We start from the raw sequence: 20,361 nt of genomic DNA, 5'->3' as shown, positions 1-20,361 counted from the left end.
TTTAATTATTTTAAAGAGCAGCAGCAACTGGGATATGTAGAAGAGCCCTGGGCTCTTGGAATTGGAACTGGAGTATGGAGACCCAGTCTCGCCTCCCAGTTGTGTTACAGGTCCAGTGACTTCACCTCTTTGAATCTCAATTTTCTATAAAATGGAGATAACTGACCCCACAGGGGTAGCATAAGATTAAAAGAGATAATGTATATGAAAAATAGTTGTAAAAAATTTATTATGGAAATTAAAAAACATATACATGAGTAAAGAACACATTATAGGCCAGCGCGGTGGCTCACACTTGTAATCGCAGCACTTTGGGCAGCCGAGGCAGACTGATCACTGGAGCTCAGGAGTTCAAGAACTGGGCAACATCATGAAACCCCATCTCTACAAAAAAAAATACAAAAAATGCAAAAACACAAACAATTAGCTGGGCATGGTGGCACGCGCATGTAGTCCCAGCTACTCTGGAGGCTAAGGTGGGAGAATTGTTTGAGCCCAGGAGGTGGAGGTGGCAGTGAGCCAAGATCGCGCCTCTACACTCCAGCCTGGGTGCCAGAGTGAGACCCTGTCTCAAAACAAACAAACAAATAAACAAAAACACATTATAATGAAGCCATCTTCAACAATTATCATCTTATTTAATCTATATCCCCTGTCCACTTTCCCCCCACCCTCAACTGGAATGTTTTAAAGCAAATCCCAGACATGCTCTTTTTTCCATAAAAACTTCATTACCGAAGTACTTTACACTTTTTAAAAAAATTAATACATGATGACTGTAGAAAATTTGGCATATGAAGAAATCATGTATGAAAGAGAAAACAAAAATCACTAATAAACTCACCACCCAGAGACTACTACATTTTGGAGTAGTTTATTATTTTTTTCTATATACATATTCGTTTTTAACAAAAGTGGGATCATATTGTATATGTTATTTTTAGGTACATTTTATTTTAATTGTAAAAATAATAAAAGCAGATTACAGAAAATAGAGAGGAAATTACCCATAATTCCTTACCACCTAATATAAAACTCTTAATATTTTAGTATTCTTCCTTCTCATTTTTTTCAATTTACATTCATACTCTTAACCCAAGTGGGATCCCTCTGATTATGTACTTTTCAAATTATGAATCTGTTTTAATTGTAAGAAAGTAATATAATCATACTGCAGAAAAAGAAAAGCAAAATAAAAATATTATCCATAATCCCACTACTCAATTATAATCACCGTTAACAATTTTTGGTGTTAACAGTGATTATAATTGAGTAGTGAGATTATGGATATTTTTTCTATGCACATATATTTTAACAAAAGTGGGAACATAATATTTATGGAGTTTATTAACTATAAACTCATATTTACTTATAAGAATAATATTGCATAATATGGGGAAAAGAGAAGAAAATCACTCATAATCCTACCACTCTACTGGCACTGTTATCATTTTGGTATTTTCCAGACTGTCGCTTTCTGTACATATTCATACATGATTGGAAACATAGTGAGTATTTAATTTTGTTCCCTTTGTGCCCTTTGCAGCTTGGCATCATATTTATGCAACTTTGTACCCAGCATTTTTTATTTCATATTTTGTTATGAATATTTTCCTATGAATAAGAGTTTTCAAAGTCAGGATTGTGTGTGTGTGTGTGTGTGTGTGTGTGTGTGTGTCAAGGTACCAAGGGACACACCCTTACCATAGACATTTAGGTTCCTTTTCATTTTCCACTATTATCAACAATTCTGCTGTAAATATTCTTGAATAAAAACTTGTGCTTTTAAAGTTTTTTCTACACACGTATTGAGTATATGTTTCTGGAGACCACTCTGTAAGTTTATAGGCTGACCTGTAAAAAGTGGTCACCTTTTTTTGGTCCCAAATTTACTCCTGTCATATGGCTCAGGCAGTCCTTGGTTCTGGAGGGTGGGATTTTAAGAAGAAATCTGCATTTTTCTCTCTCTCTCTCCTCCCTGAGTTTATAGACCTCCTTCATCCCCTCTCAGTCTGGTTTTAAAATTAATCATTCAGCAAGTATTACTGAATCTGAAGTGTGTGAGCTGAGGCAGGGACGGGAGGCAAAAGGAAAATAATCAGAAGGTCCAGTACGATAACAGCATTTATTGGCCATTTACTACACTGCGGGCACCAATCAGGCTAAGCAACCCCCACAGATTAGGTACCATTGTTATCCCCATTTAACAGATGGGAAAATTGAAGACCAAAGCATGAAGCCATTGGCCTAAGACTTCACCGCTAACAAATGGCAAAGTAGGAATTTAAACCCAGGCCTACTGACCCCTGAACCTGCACTCTAGACAGCCTCCTTACCCTCCTAGGCAGCGGGGATTAGGGCTGAGGGTAAAAACTTTGCAGACAGCCTGATCCAGATTCAAACACTCAGCCACGTGGCTATGTGAACTTGGGCAATTTCCCGAGGCTCTGTTTCATTCACCTTTGGTAAACCCTACCTCAAAGGGCTGTCCTGGGAATTAAATGAGATGATGGATGGGGAACATGCCAGGCCCAGCGCTGGAGCACAGAGGTTCTCGGTAGGTGACCATCCCTGTCCTCTCCTTGCTTCGCAAGCTCGCGGTCTAGTTGCCAAGTTGGAGATAAGAGTTCAGCGGAGAGCTCTGAGCTCTGCTGGAGCCAACGGGGAAGTCAGTGATCAGAGCATTTTTGCCGAGAAATGCAAATGTCTCCTTTGCTCCCTCTCAGCCTCTGCAACTAACCTCCTCTCCCATCTCCCCAAAAAGGAAAGGGGTGGCTTTTGTGCTTCAAAGCTGAGTGCTTGAAGCCCCTCTCGTTCCTGCTCCCCAGGAGGTAAGCAGTGGAGATGACAGGAAGTCACCAGGGGGGAGACCCTTTCTGGCATGTGGGCACAGAGAAATGTGGTGGAGGGCGCTCCTTTTTCTGCCCTTCAATGGTCCGGATGGGGGAGGGGGCTGGCTGTTGAGCAACTGCTCCGGAGACACTCCAGAAGCCGAGATGAACATATGCCTCTTTCTAACAATTGGCCTGGGAGCCATCCAATAGATGGAGGGCGGATCCACACCTCCCGGATCCGGAGCCTGCAGCGGAGAAGCTGCCGCTGTTGCCAGACCTGCTCCCGAGCCAAGCCGGGGCTGACGGGGAGGGTGGGTCAGGGGTTCAAATTAGTAACATGCAATTCGAAAGCCTAGAGTCGCTCATTCTCCACCACTTAGTTTTCGCAGAAACATTTTTTTTCATCCCAGGCAAACACCAAGAGAACTTGAGAGTGTATTTCACACGCGGTTTGCAGTAAGGCTTTAGGGTGCCGACAGATCCCGCCTTTTATCAGAGGGAGACTAGGCAGGGCCCACAATCTGGCAAGCAAAGTGAGAAAGTGCAGCGAAGATGTGTGGGGTGTGGATGCTACCGGGGTTTGTGTTGGGACAGGGTAAGTGAAAAGACTGGAGCTGTGCAAGGCAGCCTTGAGGGCTGGAGAATGGGTTTACCTGGCGACCAAGACACTCGCCCAAGCTTCCTCCAGATGCCGAGGAAGGGCCTTGATCCGTCTCTCCATTTGCTTCCCATCTTTGTGTCGGTAAGCCGGTCAGTCCGTCAACAAACAGAACTTTGTTAGAAGAGCAAATGCAGGGCACTTGGGGCTACTAAAAAAAGAAAAAGAAAAGAAAAAGAGAACTTCAGGTCTTCAAATCCAATTAAGAAGACAGAACACATACATAGTGAAAATGACTTCGTGACATTCCCTCCCCCCCTTTTTTAACATCAGGACCTTTTCTTAAAGAGTATGTTTTATAAACAGTGTAAACTGAGTCGCTGTTGCTGAAAGGCAGCAAAAAAAGAGCGGCGGGGCCGGGGCGGGGTGGGGGGGTGACAGAGGGGTAATCCCGATGGCCTCCCTGTAAGTGGTAAGGTGGGAATTTCTTGGCCACAAAGAATCCGAATTGAGGTGAAGGAGAAGACCCAGACCTCTTTCCAGTAAGGATTTGTAAGACAACATCTCTACCTAAGAAAGACGAACTCCAAATGCAAAACGTTATTCTTGCTAGACGGGAATGATTATGTAGTTACAATAAAACAACCTGACATCGTGGGAAGGCAGGAGGAATCTCCGCGAACCCTGGGGCAAGCTCTTCGTACCCCGTTGCCTACTGTTGGCTTTTCGGCGAGCCTAGTGAGCTGTACCTGGCCCCACGGTCCGGGAGAGTAGCATTTCTCCGGGTCGCATCCTGCCAGCCTCCTGCCCTGGATGACCACAGAACAGAAACCCTCGAACCCAACCCCAGCTCAGAACTTCTAGAAGAGCCACCGCTGCCATATAGGCCCCCCATGCGACTCTGCCCAGAATCTGGCGACTTTAAGAGGAAAAGGAGCCCCCAGCCTCAGCTCTTCAACGAATGAGATAGTACAGCCCCCCCAAAAGGCAGACAGGCTCCAAGACAGCCCTGCAGAAAACTAATGACCATTCCCCCGTCTCGTGTGCGCCCCGCTCTTCCAGGTCACTCCTTGAGCCCACAGCTCTCTCCCAAAACCCCTGAAGCCCGTTTTGGCCCCCGACTAGATTTAGGTCAGAAAACAGACACTAACGGCTCTCCTTTGCCTCAGTGAAATTACTAAGTGGAATTTATTGGGCAAGTCCACGCAGGGCGGTGGGGAGAGCCGGTGTCCCGGGCCCTGGCCCCCGACAGCTTTAGAAGCCGGGCACTGGCCAGGGCTCCGGGCGAGGGCTGCCCATAGCCCGGACTCGCCAGCCCCACCCCGGGAGCCTTGGCCGGTCCACAGGGCTGCCGGACTCGCGTGGCCGCGTGGACTCCGTTCCCCAGCCGGCCCTTTGCTTTCACACGATCCGCGGTGACTGCACCAGCTCGAGCGCCTTTAAAGGGCCACAGACGCCAGCCGCTGCTATAAAAATGTGCCCGGCGGCAAAGCTGCAGAAGGGGCACCGCTGAGCTGCCGAGAGGAAGCTCGCTCTGCCCGGCTGCCCTCTTGTAGTCCGCCGGCGAGGGGCAGTTCTCGGTGAGGAGGAAGAGAGCAGCGGACGGCACAGCACCCGCGCGGGCCCTCCGTGAGTATCCAGTTCAGATTTTGCCACCAACTCGCCCACGAGCCAGGACATGTGCTAATAATGCCCTAAGCCGGTTATAAAGACGTGGAAATTGAGGGGAGAAAAAAAAAGGGAAAAAAAGGGTCTGTCCTTCCTGGGATTCCTAGCCGAGGCCAGTCTGCTGCCGTGTGCGTGTGCGTCAGGGCTCTCCGGGCGGCAATGGGGGCTTGAGAGCCGGGTCCCCAGCGCCGGGAAGGGAGCGCGGTGGCCGCCACCGCCACCGCCCCGGAGTCCGGCGCCGAAGCTGCGGGCGGGCGGGCGGGCACCAGCTCGGTCAGGGGCTGCTTGGCGCGGCACTGTGCGGTGCAGCGGCGGCGCGGCGCGGTGCGGGCTTTTCCCAGGCGCCCCGGGGTCGGGTGGCCAACGGCGCGGCCGCGGGCGCTGAGCGCGACCGGTTCGCGGTAGCGGTGGCGGCGGCGTGCGTGCCAGGGGCTGGGGGCTCCGCCGCCTCTCTTGCGGCTCACCGAGCTCCGCGCTTCCCTCTCTCCAGGGCAGGCGGCTTCTCAGAGGTAAGCCGGGCCGCCGGGCTGGGCGCCGGGCTGGGCGGCGGGGCCGAGGACTCCCGTGGAGCGGGTATGGGGAGTGGGCGGCCGCCAGGCGGGCCGGAGGGTTCTGGGGAGACTTGCTTTCTGTTGGAAAGCTGCTCTGCTGGGGGCGAGGGGCCGCCCGCCCGCCCGCCCGCCAGCGCTCGGGTTCGCTTGCCAGCGCGCCCCCCTGCCGGCCAGCGGGGCCGGGTGCCCGCTTCTCCCGGGGAGACGGCAGCACCTTTTCTCCCTGCGCCCGCGCTTTCTCCAGCTTGGCTTCCACCGACTTTGCTAATCTCCCGGACCGCATCTGGACGCTCTGGCTCCGGAGCTGCACAAAGCTCAGATTTACTTCGGGGAATTGAGGCAAGAGGGGGCTTTTCGGGCCGAGTTCAGCGGAATTGCGGGATGGAAGTTAGCGAATTTGGGCAACTTGCCTCTACTGCCCAGTCGACCTCAGCCCTCCCCTCCCCCGACACACGCCCACACACACACACCCACGCGCACACCCCTCTCCCTATAAACGCGGGCTGGCGAGCCGCGCGCCGAGTCCCTGCTTCGCAGAGCACCGGACTTGGAGTCAGAGAGACCTGGCTGCGAATCCCGGCTCCGCCACTTTCTAGCGCTGTGACCTTGGGCAAGTTACCGCACCTCTCCGAGCCTCTCTCACTCTTCTCCTAGCGGGGTTTTAGCACTGACCGCAGGCGGCTTGGCTAGGGGGTAGGCTCAGCCTGCTGCCGCGTCGGATGCTCAGCGGGCGCTCAGTAAGTGTTGATCAGGCGCGAGAGTGGCAGCAGCCGGCGCCGGAGTGCGGACTCGCCGCGGAGGCCGACACCCCGTGCCCCTTCCTGCCTGTCCATCCTGTCTCTAAGATCAGTTCCTGATACAGCACTTGCGGGAACGGACGCTCAGGGCCCCGGTGGCCTGGGTGCACGCGCCCGCCGTGCAAGGGATGCTCCCGGCCGCCCCCGGTTCCGCGGCTCCATCTGGGATGCGGCGAGGAGGGCAGCCGAGCTGTCCGCAAACAACGGGCCTTTAGTTTTCAGGTGGCGAAACTGACTGGTCTGGTTAGAGCGCGTCCAAGCCAAGCCGCAGTGCTGTTTGGATTTTTAAATTTCTCCTTCTGAGTGAGAAAATAGCAATCGAGATGGAACCATCCGGTTGGTGCCATTTTAACTTTTGGTCCCCCAACAGGTTAAAGATGAGGCCCCCACCTGCCTCTCCCTTCTCTTTTCCCTCTCCCCTTCCCACCCCTGTCTAGGCGGGAGGGGGCTGCTCGCCCAAGGGAAGGCCTGAAGCGAAGAGCGGGCAGCGGGACTGGGAACTGGTGGCCGGGGGGCCGCCAGGCATCAGCCGGCGAGAAGGCACTTGTTGCTCTAGGTTTCCCAGCCGCCTGTCGCAGCCGTTTCGCAGTGGTCAGCTCGCGGCTTGGAGAGCGGGCTGGGACGTTTCCGCGTTGCCAAGTTTTGCCCACGAACGGGCTAGAGGGTGGTGGAGGAGGGCAGAAAGCCGGGGAAGCAGAGCCAGGGATGCCGATGGAAATGCGATTGCTTCTTCAGACGCATTCAACAACACTTACTGAGCGCCTATTGAGCGCAGACCCAGGCTGGGGTCAGGGTGGGTGGTGGGTCAGTAATGGAAGGCAGAAGATCTGAATGGACACAGGGCCTCTTCTGGGGGAGCTCCCAGATTGAAGAGGGAGGCGCGGTAAAATGGTCTTCCCCCACGAACTGATATCAGAATAGAGAGAGTTTTTTTGCTCGTTCTCTCTTTTGATTTTTCTAATGTTTCTCTTTTGGTTTTGCTGTTGTTGCTGCTGCTCCTGTTGTTTTTTCTTCGTTTTGTACATTCGGGTACCAAGCGGCAAAAAGGAGAGGGAAGGCTGGATAGGAACAGGAAAAGATGGACAGGGCCCCCAGACATTTTTCTTAGGACAGGAAAATTGTCTGATACTGATTGTGCTAGGGCTCTTGAAGACGACATGTGTTAGACTTCTTGTCTGGTGATCACTTGCTTTTGAAATATTTTTCTACGGTTGCCTCAGAGAAGGAGCAGGGCTTCAATCAAGCAATGATGCGGGACCCAACAGCTGATATTTTTTCCTCATGTTTTTAAAAAAATGTTTACCCCTTTCTCTATTTTTTCCCTCCCCTACCCCCATCCACCCAAGTAAGCAATGCAAAGATGATACAGAGAGGTAGTAAGTGGCCACTTTCTAGAAGTGTCTGAGCAGATTCTTAATGACCGCTGCGGAGTGGAGAGTGTCACGGAGAATTCTAGCCTCCTTGGAAAGATTAGAGACTCTTTTTAAGGTCCTCAAGATTCTTTGGACCAAGAGGTATTTATAAATATGAAATTCTACATCTCTAATTGATCATGAAAGCTAGAATATATGGGGCTTTTTTTTTTTAAAGAGATAGGGTCCCGCTATGTTGCCCAGCCTGGTATCAAACTCCAGGGCTCAGGTGATCCTCCCACCTCAGCTTCCTGAGTAGCTGAGACTACAGGAGGGTGCTACTGTGCCTAGCTATGGGACATTTTTTTCTTCTTTGTAAACAGGCCTCCAGGAAAATAAGTTGAGATTTTCAGAGGTTTGTTTATTTTCTGGTTTGGAGGTATTCTTTTGCCTTCATTCCCTTATCCTTTGGCACTTGAGCCAGGAAATCACTTCTTTGGAAGCCTTTTGAATCCAGCTAGGTATGATGACTTAGCCAGTGGTCAGGTGAGGCATGTGGCCATAGGGGTGCTAGATTCTGCTCCCAGAACCGCTGCTACCTGACTAAAAAGGCATTGAATCTCTGTGCCTCACTTGTCACTATAGATGGGAATGGCTGGACTCAGGTTTCTGGGGTAGGCATCCTAGGAAAGCCCAATGCTGGGGCTGTCTTGGAGGGGGCTTGAGACATGGAGGAAAGTGACACATTCCTAGCTTCTCTGGCTCCAGCTGCCTCAGAGCCCCCAGACCACCCTAATCAGCCTGGCTTCTCACAGGCATGCCCAAGGTCATGCTTTGGAGCTCCATGACATTTGCGCTAGAGACTTGTTATTTCCCTGTGCTGCAGCCTCTAGCTTTCTAGGTCTTCCTTGCCCTGACTTCTTCTCACATTCTCCCAGTCCCAGTGGAGGCCCCAACTCTCCAGCCTGGATGCTAGTAGCCCATTGAGACAATATGTTGCTTACTCAGGGACATTCCTGTCCTCTGAACCAGGAACAGTGCCACCCTCACCCCCACACATACACCTTGGGACTGTGAAGTCACTTGCATGAGGAAGCAGTATGTCCCATCTTGGTGATATGGGTAGGTGGCTGCCTGGGCAGTACCTGGCCGAATCAAGCACCTTTCCTGCCTCAGGCAAAAGTTCCAGCTTGATCTCCTCCCTGTGCTCGGGTGATCTCTGGTCTTGATTCTAACTCAGTCACCATCCTTGCCTCATAGCTGCGTGGCATTGCCCTGCTTTGGGCTTTGCTAGTGCTTTGTTGGTCAGTGAAGCCTTTTGCCCTTACCACTGCTTCTTCCTCACTTGCAGCACAACAGCTCCAGCTGGCAGCATCACTTCCCGCCAATTTATCCAACTTCTGCCAAGGCTCTGAAATGCCAACAACGTCGAGGCCTGCACTTGATGTCAAGGGTGGCACCTCACCTGCGAAGGAGGTAATTTTTGCCATTTTACAGATGAGGCAGGGAAAGACAAATTTTCCGGGGTCATGGGCCAGGCCCTCCTAGGTGCATTACCCAGTGTCCTTGAGCAGAGAGGAGACAACAGGACTATCTCTGGGGAGAATGAGAACAGCTTCTGCCTAAATTGTGGTCAGATTGAACCCACTAGGGGTGTTGAAAGATGGCAGGGAAGGGAGCAGAGAAATTGAGTAGGAGCAAAACCACTCTGTTGAAGAGACTAAAGTGAGGCTGAGAAGAGGGACAGGAGGTGCCCTTTTTAGGATGGTGAGGTGGAGGCTATGGGGAAGGAGCTGAAAGCAGTGAACCCACTTAGGATGGCAGGTGCTCCAGCACTGTAACTGGGCTCTGGCCTCAGTGCTCAGAGCCATGGCAGCAAAAGGATGCTTGAGGTGGGAGCCTAATTTTCAAGGGGGTCGTCTTGCTACCTCTCCACCTCTAGTCCCAAATGAAGTGCAGGTAGGAACCTTCTAAATCTGCTGAATGGTGAAGGACAAGCCAGGAGCAGGGTTACTATGGTGTGCTTTTCTCTGTCTTCTAGGATGCCAACCAAGAGATGAGCTCCGTGGCCTACTCCAACCTTGCGGTGAAAGATCGCAAAGCAGTGGCCATTCTGCACTACCCTGGGGTAGCCTCAAATGGAACCAAGGCCAGTGGGGCTCCCACTAGTTCCTCGGGATCTCCAATAGGCTCTCCTACAACCACCCCTCCCACTAAACCCCCATCCTTCAACCTGCACCCCGCCCCTCACTTGCTGGCTAGTATGCACCTGCAGAAACTTAATAGCCAGTATCAGGGGATGGCTGCTGCCACTCCAGGCCAACCCGGGGAGGCAGGACCCCTGCAAAACTGGGACTTTGGGGCCCAGGCGGGAGGGGCAGAATCACTCTCTCCTTCTGCTGGTGCCCAGAGCCCTGCTATCATCGATTCGGACCCAGTGGATGAGGAAGTGCTGATGTCGCTGGTGGTGGAACTGGGGTTGGACCGAGCCAATGAGCTTCCGGAGCTGTGGCTGGGGCAGAATGAGTTTGACTTCACTGCGGACTTTCCATCTAGCTGCTAATGCCAAGTGTCCCTAAAGATGGAGGAATAAAGCCACCAATTCTGTTGTAAATAAAAATAAAGTTACTTACAAAGAGACGGGCCAACTAGAGGTGTTCTTCATTGAGATCTAATGATGTGTAGTATGGTCTGATGTCCCTTTAGCAATTCTGAGGCCCATGGCGGGGTTGTGAGTGGCTAGCTGGGAAGGAGCTGGATGGGATGGAAGGAGAAGGGAGGGTGAAGGGGGCTGTTCACTGAATTCCTGCTGCCAGCACCACTGTGGCTATCTCCTCAGGAGTACCTGGTCTCATTGCCCTAAGACTCCAGGAACACCATGGCATACAGGGGCTGGTTGGGGGCTTTCTTGGAAGAGAGACTGATCAGACCTTTGTGCAGCCTCCTTGCTACATGCACATCCAAGTCTAAAGGCACATTCCTGGCCACGTGGCACACACTTCACCAACTGTAAAAGCCACCCCCACCCACTCTCTAGCCCCAATCCAACTGACCCATTAAGGCCTTTCCTTTGCCCTCTTGCCCATGTGCAATAGATAGATAGGGCTGAAGAAGGATCCTGTGACCTGGGAGCTCAGATTTCTCTGGAAAATTGCAAAAGCAAGAGACTCCCATCATTAAACTGGGGTTTGAGGTGCCTTCTCCAGGTTCCTCACATAGCTGCTCAGTCCTCCCAGCCTGGGACACTCTGAGCTGGTCTTGAGTGTCCCTAACTCCTACCTTCCTGACCCACCCTGTTTGAGCTGGCCTCTCCATCTTAGAGATACAGATCAGAACTAGGCTTGACAAGTTCAACATTTGGCGATCTATCCCTTGCCTTTCAATTAACTGCTGAGGAAGCAGTGGCTTCAGAAGCATGCCAAGTGGCAAGGCAGTGGCACTGCACTGGATCCTGGCCTTGTGATACACTGATAAAGCCTTGTCCTCATGTTGATACAACCCAATGTCCTGGACACTCTGTCCATGTTTCGGACTCCCAGACAGCCTTCTTCCTTGAATGCTGAAAACGACTCTAATCAGCCTCTCAGGACTAGCATCAGGCCTGCCCCCTAGCAAGCACTTTCAAAAGAGTGTGCTAGCAGGGGCGTTGATTGGATTCAGCACTCCCTGAGCACCTGCTCTGGGCCAGGCACTTTGCTAGACACTGGGAGCATGAATTAGATGAAGTTTACCTTTGAGGGAGTTCCTCATCTCAGAAGGAGAAAGACAGGCACAAACAAATTATAATAAAACAGCATTTCCTAGAACAGAGGGGGAAGGTGCTATTCAATCCCAGAAAAGGAAACAGCTCCATCTGCCTGGGAAGTCTGGGGAAGGCTCCTTGTATTGAACTGCTTTATTTGTTTTCATATTTCACAAGCAATAAATCCATTATCCAATCTCCTTGTAAAAAGTAGAAGCTTTGCAGATAAGGCTAAAGTACCCTTTGACCAAATCTCCCCCTCAATCCTGATTGCCTCTGGTTCTCCACGGAGGTAGCAACTGTTTATCTGTTTGTGGTGCATCCTTGCTGGCCTTGCTCTCTGTCCTTACATAAAGGTAGATCCACCAGAAGAAAGTTTTGGCTTTCGAAATAAGACTTGAATCAGCCAAGGGAAGAATGAGTGAGGGGAACAGCTGTTAAACAGGCACAGGTGCATGAGAGGGGTGACAGTGGCTGAAAACCAGGAGTTCAGCATGCAGGCTATGTCACAGGGCTGGCAGAGGGGACGGGAGGAGATGAGGTTGGAGAAGTTCACAAAAGGCAGAGTCCATAGGGCCTTCTGGAAACAAGCCTTCGCCTTAGTGCCACCAGTCCTGTGGCTCTGGAAGAATCTCTGGAGGTTTGTAGGAAAGCAAATAATTAACCAACTTTTAACATCTTGTTTTTAAGATGATTTCAATAAAGGTAGATGGTTAGATTCATCTAAGGCTGGGAACAGGGAGACATGGGGTTTTGAGGGGGCTGATGAGGCAAGGGTAGGAAAACGGAAAAGGAAGAAACGAAGGCTGGAAGAAGGTGGGGAGAGCAGAGCAGGCTTGAGGGCCTTGGGTCTCTGAGGAGAACACAGGAACTGGATTGGGGGAGCTAGGAAGGGAGAGGAAGGAGGGACCTGACTTCCCAGGTCATAGGATCCTTCTTCGGCCCTATCTATCTATTGCACATGGGCAAGATTGGGGGAGCTAGGAAGGGAGGTGAAGGAGGGTCTCAGAATCTGCACAGCTCCTAGCAACACAAGGGCAGTGTGGACACAGGCATGGCAGCTAAAGCAGAATGACAGGATGTGGATGGAGCCGAACTCTGAAAGGCTAGAGGATCCCAGGGTCCCTCCCCTGCTGGGGCCTTCAAAAAACGCACTTCTGGCCAAACTAAACAGGTCAGGAGGCTGCATTCAGCGCCTGATCCCCAGCTTGCCACCCCTAATCTCTATGAGTATAAGCTCTGGGACCCCCAGGATGGCAGTAGCCCTTGGGGTGGAGAGAAGCTTGAGCCAGGGGCCAGTGCCTTCAGGAGGGGGATGGGCTGCTTTGGAATCATGGGAGTGACAGGAGTGTGGCTGGGAGGCAGATGATGGTGGGGAATGGCCTGAGCATCTCTAGTATATTAACCAGAGTCTACAGAGAAACAGAACAAATAGGATAGAGATATACAGATATACATATGTTGGCTCACAAGATTATAGAGGCTGAGAAGTCCCACAGTCTTCTGTCTGCAAGCTGGAGAACCAGGCAAGCCAGTGGTGTAATTCATCGGAGTCTGAAGGCCTGAAAAGGTGGAGGATAGTAATGGTGTAAGCCTTGGTCTGAGTCTGAAGGCTTGAGAAACAGGAGCACAGAGGTCCAACGACAGGAGAAAATGATGTCCCAGCTTAGACAGAAAGAAATTCACCCTTATTCTGTCTTTTTGTTCTACTTGGGCCCTCAACAGATCAGATGATGCCTACCCACATTGCTGAGGGTGATCTTCTGTCCTCAGTCTACCCATTCACATGCTCATCTCTTCTAGAAACACCCTCTCAGACACACACAGAAATGTTTGATCAGCAATCAATGTCCTTAGCCCAGTCAAATTGACATACAAAATTACCCATCAAACCTAGAGAAGGTGCTTCTGAATGGGGAGGGAGAGCAGGAACTTTGGCATGGCAACCCTGCCTCCTGGTGCCAGTGGCCAGAAATGTGGCCAACGGAGCAGCCTCCTCTCCAGAGAGCTTGGAGGGAGAAGACATGGGACATCCTGAAGGGAGAGTCAAGGCCCTGCACAGGGGCAGATGTGGAGGGCATGGGTCAGTAACTTTATTGCTAGAGAAGGAGAGGGAGTAAGGGAACCCACAAGGCACAGTGGAAGAAAGGCAGGCAAGTCTCAGTCCTTGCCATAGAGGTCATATTCACACCAGACGCAGTCATTCATTAGGTTACTAGAAGATTCCTGAAGCCAACTCCAAGTCCTGGCCTGGAATAGGCCCTGGGGGCTAGGAGGCAAGGTACCCAGATGTACACAAGTAAAGAACACTATCTACCCGCAAGGAGCTTGCTGCTCAGAACAAATGTGTAGCCAAGAGCACCTCCTAGAGCCCAGGAGCAGTGCTGCTCCCTAGGGACAAACTAGAGAGAACCCCGTTCCTGCATTCCAGGAACTCATAGCTCAGTGGTGGAGATAGCCATAGCCTTGAAAGATGAACTGTATTTCCATCAAGCAGCAATGCTGGTGGGGGCTTGAGTGGATGGCATGGCCTCCAGGATGAGGGGGCAATTGGAGCACAAATACAAAGATAAAATCAGGGCATGATGTAAACCAGAACAAAATGTTAGAAAACCCAAGCCTCTGTCAAGGAAGTCCCACAGCTTGACTTCCTCAAAGAGCAGAGGACCGAGAGGAGGTAGGGTAAAATCAGATCCTGCAGTTGTTAATACTTTATTCCACAGGTAAGGGACAATCTCTCATTCCACAAATAAGGACTGAGCACCTACTTTGTGCCAGGAACAATGCTAAGCACTGGGAATATGTGGTAAGCACATTGTCCTTGCTCTCATGAAACTTCAAGTTTAGCAAGGAGATAGCCAGTAGTCAAGTGATCATGCAGATAATTAAAATTACAAATCATGAGAAGTGATAGGAAGAAAAGGTACAGGGCACAATGAAAGGGTATCATGGGGGTTTAATCTCAATTGCAGTGTCAGAGAGGGCCTCTGAAGGTTTTAAATGAAGAAGAGTTGAGGTCAGAGCTTGCATGAGGAAAATTAATCGGGCAATGGTGTGCATGACAAATTGGAATTATGGTGATTCTAGAAAGCTGTGACAGTGGTCCAGGAAGAATAAAGAAGATGGGAAATTAGTTTATGATAAAATGGTAACATTTCAATGGAGAGTTGTTGTTTAATGGGTATAGAGTTTCAGTTCTGCAAGATGAAAGAGTTCTAGAAATCTGTTGCACAGCAATGTGAATATACTTAACACTACTAAATTGTACACATAAAAATGGTTAAGATGGTAAATTTTATGTTGTGGTTTTAACCACAATTAAAAATAAAAAAAAAAACAAGAATTAGCATTCCAAAGCAGTGAGGAAATAATGGATTACTCAATAAACGCTTTGGGACAACTGGATACACTAACCCAAACTTACACCAAAATGAATTCCAGATAAGCCAAAGATTTAAAAATAAAAATTAAAATCATGAAAGTAGTAGAAGACCAAAAAGGAGATTTTTAAAAATAAAATTTTGAAATAGGGAGGCCATTCTAAGAATGACACAAAACCCAGAAGCTATGGAAGAGGCTGATATATTTAACTGCATTTAAAAAAATAGGCCAGGCATGGTGGCTTACAACTGTAATCCCAACACTTTGGGAGGCCAAGGTGAAAGGATTGCTTGAGCCTGGGAGTTCAAGGCCAACCTAAGCAACATAGGGAGATCCTGTCTCTACAAAAAATTTAAAATTTGCTGGGCATGGTGGCGCACACCTGTGGTGCCAACTACTTGGGAGGCTGAGGCAAGAGGATCACTTGGACCTAGGAAGTTGAGGCTGCAGTGAGTCATGACCATGCCACTGCACTCCAGCCTGGGCAACAGAGTGAGACTTTGTCTCAAAAAAACAAATAAACAAACAAACAAAAAAACCTGCAAAGCAAAAATCATACCATAAACAAAGTCAAAGTCAAAGTCAAAAGATAAACTGAGATAAAAAGAGAAAATATCTGCAATTCCTAGTGAATACGAAAACAACTCTTACAAATCAATACATCAAAGACCCCCAGCCCAATGTGAAAATAGGCAAATGATATTAACAGTTCACAGAAAATGAAATAGAGAAAAAGAAATTAAAATGGTTTAAAAACTTATCAAAAGATGCTCAACCTCACTCACACTACAAGAAATGTAATTTAAAACTACACTAGGGGCTTCTGATTCTGGAACAAAATGACTGCTCCTCTCCTTCAAATGCAACTCTATACCCTAGAAATTATTCAATAAGCAATGATAAAAGGACACTGAAAGCAGGAAAGAAGACAGACAGGTCAGGAACTTCAGGACATGGTGAGCTTCCTCAGTTTTCTTTTTATCTCCTGTATACTCCTAGACTGGGTGCCAAAGAGGCATGCAACCTAAAACCAACAGTCATACACACACACACACATGCACGCACGCACACACACGTGCAAGCATGCACGCATGCACACACAAAGGACGGGGAAAGATGAAGCCAGACACACACCTAGTGGGGAGATCTAAGCCCTGCTCCACAACTAAAGCCCCCAGAAAGTGGTCCAATCTACTTGTAGCAGCAAGCAAAGTCCTGGGCTGTCTCAGTGGCTCCCTCCAGAACTGGGGTACCAGCAGGCAACCCAATTTGCCTGCATAGGTAGCAGGAACAAAGCCCTGTGTCTCCTTTCCCTCCACCCAATGGCATAAGGAGACTCACACACAGTGGCTTCAGCAACTCTCTCCCCTGGAAGATCACCCACCAAAAATATGCAGCTCAAAGAAGGAAGGACCTTCTGCCCCTGTAGACAGAACCAGCAAGGATTGAGCAGAAACCCCAGGAATAGCAGAAAAATCAAGCCGACCAAAGTAACATTGCATGGGCTCAGAAAACTAAACTGTCATTGGCCAATGACTAAACTGTCACTGGCCCACTAAAGTAGACCAGAACCTACATGCTAAGTAGGGTAACTACCTGCTAATACCAAAATGTTCAGGATACTAATCGAAAATCACTCATCATAACAAGAGCCAGCAAAACCACAGTTTGAATGAGAAAAGACAGTCAACTGATACCAACATCAAGATGAATCAAATGCTGGAATTATCTGACAAGGGCCTTTAAGCTTCTCAACAATCAATTACAAATTCATTTGAAATAAATGAAAAATTGAAAATCTCAGCAAAGAAATAGATACTTTAAAATAGAACTCAGCCTGGACAACATGGTGAAGCCCTGTCTCTACAAAAAAATACAAAATGCAACTCTACAACATTTATATACAAAATTAATTAAATTTATATACAAAATTAATACAAAATGCAGCTACAAAAATTAATACAAAATGCAGCTACAAAAATTAATACAAAATGCAACTACAAAGAAATACAAAATGCAACTCTATAAAATTTATATACAAAATTAATACAAAAATTAGCCAAACATGGTGGTGCATGCCTGTGGTCCCAGCTACTCAGGAGGCTGAGGTGGGAGGAGTCCAGGAGGTGGAGGTTGCAATGAACCGATATCACCCCACTGCACTCCAGCCTGGGCGACAGAGTGAGACCCTCTCTCTCTCAAAAAAAAAAAAAAAAAAAAAAAAACTAAAAGGAATAATGGAATGAAAAAAATAACTGAAATTTTAAAACTCACTGGATGGACTCAATAATAGAGTGGAGATGACAGAGGACAGATTCTGTAAACTTGAAGACAGATCAATAGAATTTACTCAATCTGAACTCATTTGAACACCACTTGGCTATGATAAATTATGTGTGTGTGTGTGTACATATATATGTACACACACATATATATATATGGTAATACCTATAGCAACCACTAGGAAAACTATACGAAGTAATATATTCAGAATCAGTATAAATAAATCCAAATGAAATTCTAAAATATATTACAGGAAGGCAAGCAAAAATAAGCAGAATGAAAAAAAGAACAAACAAAAAACAAATAATATAAAATGGCAGACTGAATCCCTGACATAATAAAAATTACCTTCAATGTTAATGGACTAAATATACCAATTAAAAGAAAGAGATAAGCAGAGTGCATTTTTTTTTTTTTTTTTGAGTTGGAATCACACTCTGTCGCCCAGGCTGGAGTGCAGTGGCATGATCTCGGCTCACTGCAACCTCTGCCTCCCGGGTTCAAGCAATTCTCCTGTCTCAGCCTCCCTAGTAGCTGGGACTACAGGTACATGCCATCATGCCCGGCTAATTTTTGTTCTTTGTTTTTTGTTTTGAGACGGAGTCTCGCTCTGTCACCCAGGCTGGAGTGCAGTGGCGCGATCTCGGCTCACTGCAAGCTCCGCCTCCCGGGTTCATGCCATTCTCCTGCCTCAGCCTCCGGAGTAGCTGGGACTACAGGCGCCCGCCACCACGACCGGCTAATTTTTTGTATTTTTAGTAGAGACGGGGTTTCCCCGTATTGGTCAGGCTTGTCTTGAACCCCTGACCTCAGGTGATCCACCCACCTCAGCCTCCCAAAGTGCTGGGATTATAGGCATGAGCCACCGCACCTGGTGCAGAGTGAATTTAAAAGAGCACAACCCTGGCCGGGCATGGTGGCTCACACCTGTAATCTCAGCACTTTGGGAGGTCGACGGGGGTGGATCACATGAGGCCAGGAGTTTGAGACCAGCCTGCCCAACATGGCAAAACCCCATCTCTACTAAAAATACAAAAATTATCTGGGCATGGTTGCACACACCTGTAATCCCAGCTACTCGGGTGGCTGAGGCGGGAGAATCACTTGAACCCAGAAGGCTGAGGTTGCAGTGAGCCAAGACCGCACCACTGCACTCCAGCCTGGGTGGCAAAGTGAGAGTGTCTCCCAAAAAAAAAAAAAGCCCGACCCAGCTGGGTGTGGTCGTGCGCATCTGTAATTCCAGCTGAGGAAGGAGGAGTTCAAGCCTAGCCTAGGCAACATAGCGAGACACCATCTCTGAAAAAAAAAAAGAAAAAAGTCTAAAAAGCACAACTCAACTATACGCTGTCTACAGAAAACTCACTTCAAACATGCCAACATAGGTAGGTTGAAAGCACAAGGATGGAAAAATGATATATCATACAAACATTAATTTTAAAAAGCAAAAATGATTATATTAATATCAGATAAAATAGACTTCAGAGCAAAGAAAGTTACTAAGGACAAAAGAGACGTGTTTAAAGGATCAATCCACCAAAAAGACGTAGCAATCCTAAGTGTTTGCGTCAAACAACAGAGCTTCAAAATACATGAAGCGAAAACCAAGAGAGCTGAACAACAAAATAGATAGATCCCCAGTTAGAGTTGGAGGGCTCAACTCCCTCTCTCAGCAATTGGTAAAATGACTAGACAAATTCAGCAAGGATATAGAAGAACTCAACAAAACCATCAACCAAGAGGATCTAATTGACATTTATAGAATACTTTATCCAGCAACAGAAAATACACGTTCTTTCCAAGTATTCATGGAGCACTGACCAAGATGGATCATATGCGGGTTCAGAAACAAACCTTAATACATTTAAAAGAAGTGAAATCATACAGAATGTATTCTCTGGCTATAATGGAATCAAGCTAGAAATCAATAACAAAGATAACAAAAAAGTCTTTTAAAACTTGAAAACTGAACAGCATATTTCTAAATAATCCATGGGTCAAAAAGGAAGTCTCAAAGGAAATTTCTAAAAAATATATTGAACTGAATGACAATGAAAATACGACATATCAAAACTTGTGGAATGCAGGTAAAGCAGAGAAGTTTATAGCACCAAATGCTTACATTTCGAAAACAGAAAAGGGACCAGGAGCAATGGCTCACCCCTGTAATCCCAGCACTTTGGGACTCAAAGACAGGAGGATCACTTGATCCCAGGAGTTTGAGACAAGCTTAGGCAGCATAAAGAGACCCCATCTCTACAAAAAACAAAAAGAAAACAAAAACCAGAAAAGTCCAGTCAATAATCTAAATTCTTACGTAAAAAAAACAAGAAAAAAAGTGCAAAATAAACCAAAACCAACTAGAAAAGGGGGAAACAATAAAGATAAGAGCAGAAATAAATGAAATTGAAAGCAGGAAAACAGTAAAGAAAATCAATGAAGCAAAAAGCTGGTTCTTCAGAAAAAAAGTCAATAAAACTGACAAACTTCTAGCAAGACTGACAGAAATAAAAAGAGAAAACACAAATTACCAACATCAGAAATGAAAGAGAGGCTATCACTACAGATCCTACAGCTATTAAAGGAATCATAAGGAAATACCACAAACACTCCTGTGCTAATAAATTCAACAACTTAAAAGAAATGAATCAATTCTTCAAAACCCAAAACTCTACCGAGATGAAATAGATAATCTGAATAATTCTACAACCATTAAATAAATTGGATTTGTATAATTAAAGAGCTTTCAGAAAAGAAATCTCTAGGCCAAAATTTTTTCACTGGGGAATTTTATGAAATATTCTAAGAAGGATTAGGACCAATTTTACACAAAAGAAGAGGGAATGCTTCCCAAGTATTATCCTGATATCAAAACCAGACAAAAACAACATACAAAACAATATAACTACAGACCACTCTCTCTCCTGAATTTAGATGCAAAAATTCTAAACAAAATTTGATCAAATCCAATCCAACAATATATAAAAAGAATAATGTACCATGACCAAGTGGGGTTTATTCTAGATATGCAGGGTTGGTTCAACATTCAAAACGAGGCCAGGCATGGTAGCTCATGCCTGTAATCCCAGCATTTTAGGAGGCTAAGGCCAGAAGATCACTTGAGGCCAGGAGTTCAAGACCAGCCTGGGCAACATGGT

The 20,361-nt window shown here is 47.5% G+C and overlaps 1 protein-coding gene and 1 long non-coding RNA gene across 6 annotated transcripts, besides 4 other annotated features; one reads left to right on the top strand and one right to left on the bottom strand.

Annotated features, from left to right (window-relative positions):
* On the bottom strand, positions 345-5,984 carry LOC105373250 (uncharacterized). Of its 2 annotated transcripts, none has more exons than XR_938441.2 (3): positions 5,866-5,984; positions 3,488-3,643; positions 345-384 (listed from the first exon to the last, which is right to left on the bottom strand). It is a non-coding gene; the product is annotated as an uncharacterized LOC105373250 (long non-coding RNA). The 2 variants fall into 2 exon arrangements; XR_938442.2 differs by lacking the exon at positions 345-384 and adding an exon at positions 2,318-2,648.
* Positions 2,699-3,200: an enhancer, noted in NCBI's record as "NANOG hESC enhancer chrX:71528736-71529237 (GRCh37/hg19 assembly coordinates)". NCBI's record gives its function as "activates a minimal SCP1, AML or CMV promoter by ChIP-STARR-seq in naive and primed H9 embryonic stem cells {active_cell/tissue: H9 hESC(naive and primed)}" and the evidence as "EXISTENCE:reporter gene assay evidence [ECO:0000049][PMID:30033119]".
* Positions 2,923-2,972: an enhancer, noted in NCBI's record as "active region_29760". NCBI's record gives its function as "activates an Ori minimal core promoter by ATAC-STARR-seq in GM12878 lymphoblastoid cells {active_cell/tissue: GM12878}" and the evidence as "EXISTENCE:reporter gene assay evidence [ECO:0000049][PMID:35858748]".
* Positions 4,893-5,187: a silencer, noted in NCBI's record as "tiled region #2135; HepG2 Repressive DNase matched - State 4:PromP, and K562 Repressive non-DNase unmatched - State 4:PromP". NCBI's record gives its function as "represses a minimal TATA promoter and a strong SV40 promoter by Sharpr-MPRA in HepG2 and K562 cells {active_cell/tissue: HepG2 | K562}" and the evidence as "EXISTENCE:reporter gene assay evidence [ECO:0000049][PMID:27701403]".
* On the top strand, positions 4,929-10,440 carry CITED1 (Cbp/p300 interacting transactivator with Glu/Asp rich carboxy-terminal domain 1). Of its 4 annotated transcripts, NM_001144885.2 has the most exons (4): positions 6,172-6,261; positions 6,664-6,784; positions 9,152-9,276; positions 9,842-10,440. In NM_001144885.2, exons 2-4 carry the CDS (start codon positions 6,772-6,774, stop codon positions 10,361-10,363), a joined length of 660 nt encoding a protein of 219 aa, NP_001138357.1. In that variant the 5' UTR covers positions 6,172-6,261; positions 6,664-6,771; the 3' UTR covers positions 10,364-10,440. The 4 variants fall into 4 exon arrangements, with proteins under 4 accessions (NP_001138358.1, NP_004134.2, NP_001138357.1 ...); NM_001144886.2 differs by lacking the exons at positions 6,172-6,261; positions 6,664-6,784 and adding an exon at positions 4,929-5,061; NM_004143.4 differs by lacking the exons at positions 6,172-6,261; positions 6,664-6,784 and adding an exon at positions 5,216-5,609.
* Positions 5,117-5,166: an enhancer, noted in NCBI's record as "active region_29759". NCBI's record gives its function as "activates an Ori minimal core promoter by ATAC-STARR-seq in GM12878 lymphoblastoid cells {active_cell/tissue: GM12878}" and the evidence as "EXISTENCE:reporter gene assay evidence [ECO:0000049][PMID:35858748]".

Source organism: Homo sapiens, chromosome X (genome assembly GCF_000001405.40).
Source record: "Homo sapiens chromosome X, GRCh38.p14 Primary Assembly".
Taxonomy (NCBI): domain Eukaryota; kingdom Metazoa; phylum Chordata; class Mammalia; order Primates; family Hominidae; genus Homo; species Homo sapiens.
This window is presented reverse-complemented; position numbering and strand designations above follow the sequence as displayed.

Excerpts from the sequence above, each read along its gene's own strand:
- CITED1 (NM_001144885.2), top strand. Across the intron at positions 9,277-9,841 it reads GCACCTCACCTGCGAAGGAG|GATGCCAACCAAGAGATGAG; the intron begins GTAATTTTTGCC and ends TCTGTCTTCTAG.